The sequence below is a fragment of the Homo sapiens genome, chromosome 7 (assembly GCF_000001405.40).
Source record: "Homo sapiens chromosome 7, GRCh38.p14 Primary Assembly".
Classification (NCBI taxonomy): domain Eukaryota; kingdom Metazoa; phylum Chordata; class Mammalia; order Primates; family Hominidae; genus Homo; species Homo sapiens.
This window is the reverse complement of record NC_000007.14, coordinates 13986006-13993420: the sequence shown is the minus strand read 5'-3', so window position 1 is coordinate 13993420 and position 7415 is coordinate 13986006. Positions and strand designations below refer to the sequence as shown.

Below are 7415 nucleotides of genomic sequence, written 5' to 3'. Positions count from 1 at the left end.
GCTCCACCCTCCTCTCAAATTTCTGCTACTCCTCACATACAGTGTTCCTGAAGCCACTGATTATCTTTCACCCTCCTGTGAGGACTCTATGTTCTCCTTTGGAATTATTTTCACTTGTTCATTTTCTTGGCCAATTTTGCTGTTTAATTTTATATCTTTTTCTTATCTATTTGATGTAACTGTGCAAACTAGATCTTTAACAATTTGCCTTACATACTGTTTTAATACAACAAATTTTAAAAGTTACTGTTTTACTTAATACTCTACTCAATTTTGAGCAAACTTCATTTGATTTTAATTATAGCAACCATTTAAAACAAGCAGCGCCATTTTAGCTTGTTGCCTTTCTGTAACTGCTTTTAGAAATTCACTTTCTTTAACAACGTGCAATTTCTTCATAATGCCATAGTAAGTTAACTGTAGAGAAGTCACTAATGAATATTATTTTACTTTATTAAATAACAGCAAGGGAAATATAAAAATTTAAATAGTTTTACATGCAACCTAAAAACTTTCCAAACTCAAAAATGGACTTTTTTTTGGAGGGGGGTAGCTTTCTCTCAAGAACTCTTATTTCAAAATCCAAATGGGATTTCAAAATACAAGCAAATAAATGTCAAAGCCTCTTGGCCTCTGCTCTGCCATTCTATGCCTGAAATCCTGCCAAAATGAAATTTTCCGTTCAAAAGGGCTGGCATTTACTAAACTGATGTTTTAAAGACATTCTCAAAAAGTAGTGGAAACTTTGTCCAGCTTTTTATGTTCCTGTCTTGTAGACAGAACAGCTGCCTTTGCAGATATTTTCCAAGATCTTACATTTTCTGAAAAACAAATTTTCAGCCCTTCCACTGTCTTCAGCAAGTGGGTCTATTGGTTTTTCCCAGTGCCAAGCAGAGAAGATAAACAACTGCCAAACTAGAAGCTAGTGTCTGAGTATCAAGGCATAGAAAGGACAGAAGAGATAGTGTTTCAGTAAGTATCAATGCAGAGAAAGGACAGAAGAGAAAGTGGGAGAAAGAAAAGAGGGTGGTTCAATCGTTCACAGTCAAGAGGGACACATTTATCTCAAAATTTTAGGCTGTTTCAACAAAACCGAGCTGTAGCGAGACTAGCTGCTTATTCACACGAGAACATCATTTTCAGTTACTATGAAGATCAAAGAGTTAAAAGATATGAGTTCGTTTAAAGAACTCAAAAGGGAAAATATGAAGCCACCGCAATACGTAGTAAAATCTGAGGCTTAACAGCGCAGCGCCTGAGAGTGCCAGTCCACTAAAGGGAGGGAGAAGGGGCGCAGAGCTTATGGGGGCCTGGGAAGGAGTGATAAGTCTTTGGAAATGGAAACTAAAGCTATCAGCCAGCGAAAACCATCAATATTCCTAAAAATATATAATACTAATAATACATAAAAGCTTTAAAAAACTAACAAGACACTGTGGGATACAAAAAAAGGTAGAAATGAAAATTACAGAATGTTAAGTGAAAAAACTGAAATCCATCTACAGTCGAACAGTTTGCACCTTTAAAAGCAATGACTTGAAGCAGCAAGCAAAAGTTCCCAGTCCTTAAGACTTTCTCCCCACTCTCAATTCTTTCTTTCCTCTAGTGCAAAAGCTGTCTAAGCAGTGCACGCCGGAATTATCCCCACGTGAGCCTTCCTTTAATTTCGGTCTTAATTTTTTTCTCTCTTGTTATTACTCCCAGACCCCAACCTCTTTTTCCTCATCTAGTATCTGTTTCAGGGACAGGACAAAGAGGAGGCAGCGAGCTGAAAAAAGTTTTGTGGTTTGGGATACTTGGGCCTTTGTTGTGTCATTTCCTCTACCCCTCCACGCCCCCAACCACGTGACCAAGAAGGGCCGGAATTTTGTGAATGGAGACGAAAGGTGGCTGTTGGGGCGGGCGGGACTCCGCCCCCTTCCCTAAAGCGGCCAATCTCCTAGCGGAGCGCTGAGGGGTCAGCAATAAACAACAATGGGCTGGGGATTTACGGCTCGTTATTGGCTGCGGGAAGAACCTCGCCGGGACCTAACCCGAAGCTCCGCCCCCTCGCGGTTACCCTGGATACCCGTCAGGCTCGGGCTGCAGAGAAGGTCTTTGGAAACTGTTGCTCAGATTACAGGCGCTGGGTTATTCCAGGAGTGCAGGGTGGTGGAGGACCCTTGTTATTGACCCCCTGCTTGGTTGCACCCTCAGATAGTACCCATGAGCTTCACTGTTCAGCCTCGGGGCCCAGGCGCTTCCTGGAATCTCTCCTTGGCCGGGGTTAAAATGCAGTTCCCGCTCAAAATGCTTATAGGTGCGCGCGTTGTGAACTCCGATTTAGTAGTTTCCGGGAATGCGCGGGGTCTGTCTTTGCTGTCCATAGTTATTGGTTGTTTTCCCAGTAATAAGTGTTGATTGTTTGTTTGTTTGCTTCTTTTTTAAGTAGATCTTTCTCCTGCCCAGGTCCGGGGTTGAGTGCTGTGCGCTCTTACACTCCATTTTAATGTGTCTCCATAACGTTCTATTTAAGGAAGGAAACTTTCAAATAGAAATTGAGAACTGCAGCACGTTTCCTAACGGGCGGAACAGCTGCCGGAAACGTCTTTTGGTCACTAGTTCTGGTCACAAATGAATTTCAACAGCATTGAGTCCCTGGTCCTATCCCCGCGGCCTCCCGTCCGCTGTTGGACACTGGCTCCTTAAAGTGACGCTTTACTGTTCTGAGTCCCATAGGAGGATCAGGGCAAGTGGCTTCAGAGATGCAGCCCTCACTGCTTAACGTCCTAGTTATTGTCCTTGAAACCCGAGCCATCTCACCGCTCGCCCCCAACCCTGGGCTCTGGCTGTTTAAAAGCTGGAGAGGAAGTGAAAGCGTCAAGTACAGTAAGTGACACCCTCCGCCTCCGTGTATACATAACAAAAGCTCAGGAAACGTGCGGGTTCTAGGATATACGAGCAACCCCAAGCACTCCCTCCTCCTCCCCACAGCCACAGTGGACTGGAAGTACCTTTTCCCAGTGCACACGTAGGGACCATTTTGACTTATACTTTTTCACCTAGCTTGCTCTGTTGTCCTCCCATCACAACCTCTGCTAATCAGCAATTCTGCATCTCCTAGGTGCCTTCCTTATAGATTCTTTATGTTTCTGTCCCACGAACGATAGGATCTAATTTTAGTTGAGGATGACTGTTTAAAAAATGTTTCGATAAACCATAATGGTGATGGTGGGTTTTGAAAAACGGGAAAATAAATTGGGCCAAAAGCTGAGTGGGAATGAGGATAGAGAGCGAGGTGAGCTCCTAGTCAGGGCAAGAGTAGAGAGGTTGGAGATCCTGAGGGGAGGGCAGCTGAATAAGGCGGTACGGGCTTTGTGGATCGCGGCTCTAAGGGTATACCAGAACCGCACAACAGTACTTTAAGGAAACCAGCCCAATAGTGGACCTAACACCCCAATAATGGGAACTGGCGACTCGAAACACACGGTTTCAGTATCCCCAGGCGCCTTAACAATAAGCAGCGGGTTACAGAGGAAATCGAGTCTCTCCGTGGCGCTTCCAGGCTGAGGACCCAGCGCCTACCGGCCGAGCACCCCCTAGGGCAGAGGGGCGAGGGAGACCCGCGGGAAGGGGCAGCAAGCCGCCTGATTGACAGCCCGAAATCTGATCTTGTGAAAGAGACGCGGAGCCAATGGGAGGCAGCGATCCATCAGTTTGGATTGGAGGCCCCTGGAGGAGAAGTAGAGGAAAAACCACCGAATTGAGCTCTGTCAGAGGCGCTTTCGGCTTCCAAGGGGGAAGTGCTGGGCTATAATTAATGTTTTTATTAAATTTGGAGGGAAGTTTTTGCAGCCTTTCGCCTAGCGTGGCCTTCAGGTGGGTCTTTCCAACAACTTTTTATGTCTCTCCAGATAATTGCATGGTTGTGGGTCGCAAAAACTATCCTGATGAAAGAGGTGTCTCCGTCTCTTTAGTCCCGTTAGGTGCAAAGCAAGTCTCGTTGATCGCCATTGCTAGTTTTGCACACGTTTGCGAATCAGAGCTGCCCGGGGTACACCGACCGCGCAGGGAAACATCGAGAGTGTAAATAAATACATCGCCTCTTGTTCGGATTTTTGCTACTACCGAAAATATGTAAATTGTGAACTCTGTTGGCTCTCTTTGGATCCAGGTGAAGGAGGCGGTGTAGGGAGGGTTATTTTTGTGAATGGGACTGTCGGAGGGTAATTAGCTATGCAAATTCAAGAGCTTCATTCATGATTTTTTTTTAAGCCTAAAAGCCATCTTGTTCCCCTCTAGGTTGATAGAAGTCCAGATCCTGAGGAAATCTCCAGCTAAATGCTCAAAATATAAAATACTGAGCTGAGATTTGCGAAGAGCAGCAGCATGGATGGATTTTATGACCAGCAAGTGCCTTACATGGTCACCAATGTGAGTGATCAGTTTGAAAGTTGCTGTTTATAAACTTGACTCCGTCGGGGGTGGGGAGAGGGAGAAAATGAGAAGGGAGGGGGCACGGGGGTTGGGATTGCAGATACTTATCTGCTTTGTTGCCACTGTAGGGCGACTCTGCTTCTAGAAGCCCAGTCTTCAAAATGAGCTTACCTTTCAGTGATTTGGATAAGGCATAGTTTTGTTTTTAAGACCCCTTTTTCTGATTAAAGTGCCCAACATGAGTGGAAGAGGAGATGGAGGGCAGCAGCAGCTGCTGCACTCAAAGTTTTTGGCTGGGTTTGTCTGCCACATTGAAAAGAATGAAGTTGAGACAAATGCTGACACTTTTTGTTTATATGGGGTGTTTTTGTTTCTTTTTTTTTTCTCATTTTCTCTTTTTTTTTTTTTTCATTTCTCTACTCTTTTTGCTTTTTTTTTTTGTGGGGGTGGGGTGGGGAGGAGGGGCTGTCCAAGAGAGAATAAAACCCACTGTTTTAATCTAGCATTGAACCAGCCTAAAAACAACTTTAAGTGTAAATGCTTCAGGTTGTTTTGATGCTGAGATACCATGAATATATGATTGATAAATAGTAATGTGCTAAGATCGGCACTGGGAAGCAACTCTCCCTGCCTGCTTAACATAAGCTTTCACTGTCAAATAAGTGAGAAAATGAATATTAGAGTTGATACTATGGACTTCTATTTTTCTATTCAGAGAAGATCCATTAGACTTATGTATGCATGTCTGTGTGTGTGTGTGTGCGCGCGCGTGTGCGTGTGTGTGATCTGAGGTTTACATTCTTTTAAAGGATTTTATCTTTCCCTTTGTAGAGTCAGCGTGGGAGAAATTGTAACGAGAAACCAACAAATGTCAGGAAAAGAAAATTCATTAACAGAGATCTGGCTCATGATTCAGAAGGTGAGGTTTGATTTTGGGCTGAATCCCCATTTTTTTACCTACACTCTCCACCCTGCTAAAAGAAAAGGAGCACTTCAGTCTTATCTTAAAAATAATAAACTTTGAAATTACTGAATCTAACTAAGACTTTAACTTGGAACGATTTACATAATGCGGCAGTTTGCATGGGAGACTATTTTATGGTCCTATCACAAAGTAATGAAAGAAGGAAATAAAAACTTCTCAATGACAACCTTCTTTTAATCATTGTTTTGTGTTTAAATACCTTTGTCCATGGGGCATATAACTCACCCCATTCACTAAGATAACAATTTAAAAATATCCAATACAGTGGGACAAATTCAGCAGCTATGTACACTGCTTACTTTTTTCTTTCTCCTTTATTACAAGTTAAACAGTATTAGTGATTGTTTGGTTTCCCACCTCCTTTACACTAAAACCATCTACTATTAACAGAATTTTCAAGGGTGATTTTGATGACTAAATTGTGAGGTCATAATACCTTGTTTATCGACCATAATGTGTTCACTGAATCATACTTAAGGCCTCCTTAATAATTATAATACTATTTGGGAAATTAGTTTGCAGATTCTTTTTATGAACTGTTGCTAGGATGTCAGTATGTTACAAATTATTTTAGCCATATGAGGACATTCATAATAAACTTAATATACTTAGATTTAATTATCAAAGTTTAGTTGGCAATTTTAATTAGATATACTGAATTCTGAAACTTCCTCAAATCTTCATACCATTTAAATACCTCCCTCTCTCCCTCCCTAACATGACCATATAGTTTAGAACTTGATGAGAACCTGGTGCCAAAGAATTATCTTTCTGACTTTTATAAACCTATTAATGTAGAAATTTTCCTCTAAAAACTTGTATTTGAAGTGGTTTCTTTTAGTTTCGAGGTATTGAAGTTGAAAACATAATACTTTGACAGTTGTACCATGTACCATTATATATTTTATGTAAGATTCAGAAGATATAAATAAAATGCTTTTCAGTCTTTCTAATCTTCCCCCTACTACTATTTTAGCAAGAGTTAAATATATTTAAGGAAGATTTCAGTGAACAGACACATATTCACCTCAGCCTTTTTGTGAATTCTGGTATCCCTGAGCTTATTTATTAAGCTGTTTGTTAAAAAGAAGAAAAGATGATTGACTTTATTCTTTAGTTGACTAAAATAATTTCTTAAAGAGTTGCTTAATAGGCATGAAAAGTAGGCAGTATTATTGAGATATTTAAGTTATGCCTCTTTTTTTTATTTTTATGTTGACTGCGTCTCTTGAAATTAAATTTATATTTAATACCAATTTCATGACAAATATTTCCATTTAATGAAGATTAAAGATTTGCAAATCTTATGTTTATGTCTTTGACTTGTTTTTTAGAACTCTTTCAAGATCTAAGTCAATTACAGGAAACATGGCTTGCAGAAGGTAAGGCAAAATTTGCTTTAAAAGGGGGGAAAGCAACTCTAGAAGGAGAAAGAAAAGAAGTCCTGAACTTGCTGTCTTAATATTCAGCCCAATTAATTGAGCTCTAAAAGAGCCACCTCATGTGTCATGCATACATTAGAGCCTCTGATGAGTTTGTCTTTGGGGACTCTGGGGCTGTACTACCCAGTGTCATCACAAATTACCAGGAGAAATTGCTTCCAGCTCACAATCACATCTGCTTTTGGCAAGAACTAATGCACCAAGACTTCAAGTTCTAAGCCTCTGTTCAGATTTTAATTGCAATTGATCAGGTTTATATTATTGTACCTCCAGAGACCTCCTAGAGCCAGAACCCGGCTGGCTTGCTGTTTCCTTTAGAGCAGCGCATATCATTATTTGGTGTTCTGGTGGAGGACTTTTCTGATGGCAGAAATTAGTTTCTCTGGGTTCATCAGGACGGGATGCTTCAAGATTTAAGTGCAAGTGTCTTCTTTCCACCTTGTTCACAACACAGAACGTTAGGTGTGTATCTAATGCTTAGGAAATCTATGGGTTTAAAATAAATGGGAGATATGAGGATTTTAAAAATGTTTTCCATGTGTTACTATTCATGTTATGTTTGCTGAAATTGA

The 7415-nt window shown here is 41.1% G+C and overlaps 1 protein-coding gene across 18 annotated transcripts in view, besides 1 other annotated feature; it reads left to right on the top strand.

Annotated features, from left to right (window-relative positions):
• Window positions 1734–2235: an enhancer, noted in NCBI's record as "NANOG-H3K27ac hESC enhancer chr7:14030811-14031312 (GRCh37/hg19 assembly coordinates)". NCBI's record gives its function as "activates a minimal SCP1, AML or CMV promoter by ChIP-STARR-seq in primed H9 embryonic stem cells {active_cell/tissue: H9 hESC(primed)}" and the evidence as "EXISTENCE:reporter gene assay evidence [ECO:0000049][PMID:30033119]".
• ETV1 (ETS variant transcription factor 1) overlaps window positions 1996–7415 on the top strand; it is a 100197-nt gene continuing 94777 nt past the window's right edge. For 3 of the 18 annotated variants that reach the window (NM_001163151.2, NM_001163152.2, NM_001163150.2), the window contains exon 1: window positions 7009–7305. In NM_001163151.2, coding sequence (NP_001156623.1) covers window positions 7245–7305 — 61 coding nt within the window. In that variant the 5' untranslated portion in view covers window positions 7009–7244. Of the gene's footprint in view, window positions 2094–2171; window positions 2300–2714; window positions 2869–3544; window positions 3859–3956; window positions 4154–4281; window positions 4414–4537; window positions 4742–5247; window positions 5336–6735; window positions 6784–7008; window positions 7306–7415 lie in introns of those variants that run through there. The other 15 variants (NM_001163148.2, XM_047419985.1, XM_047419987.1 and 12 more) reach the window with 12 other exon arrangements.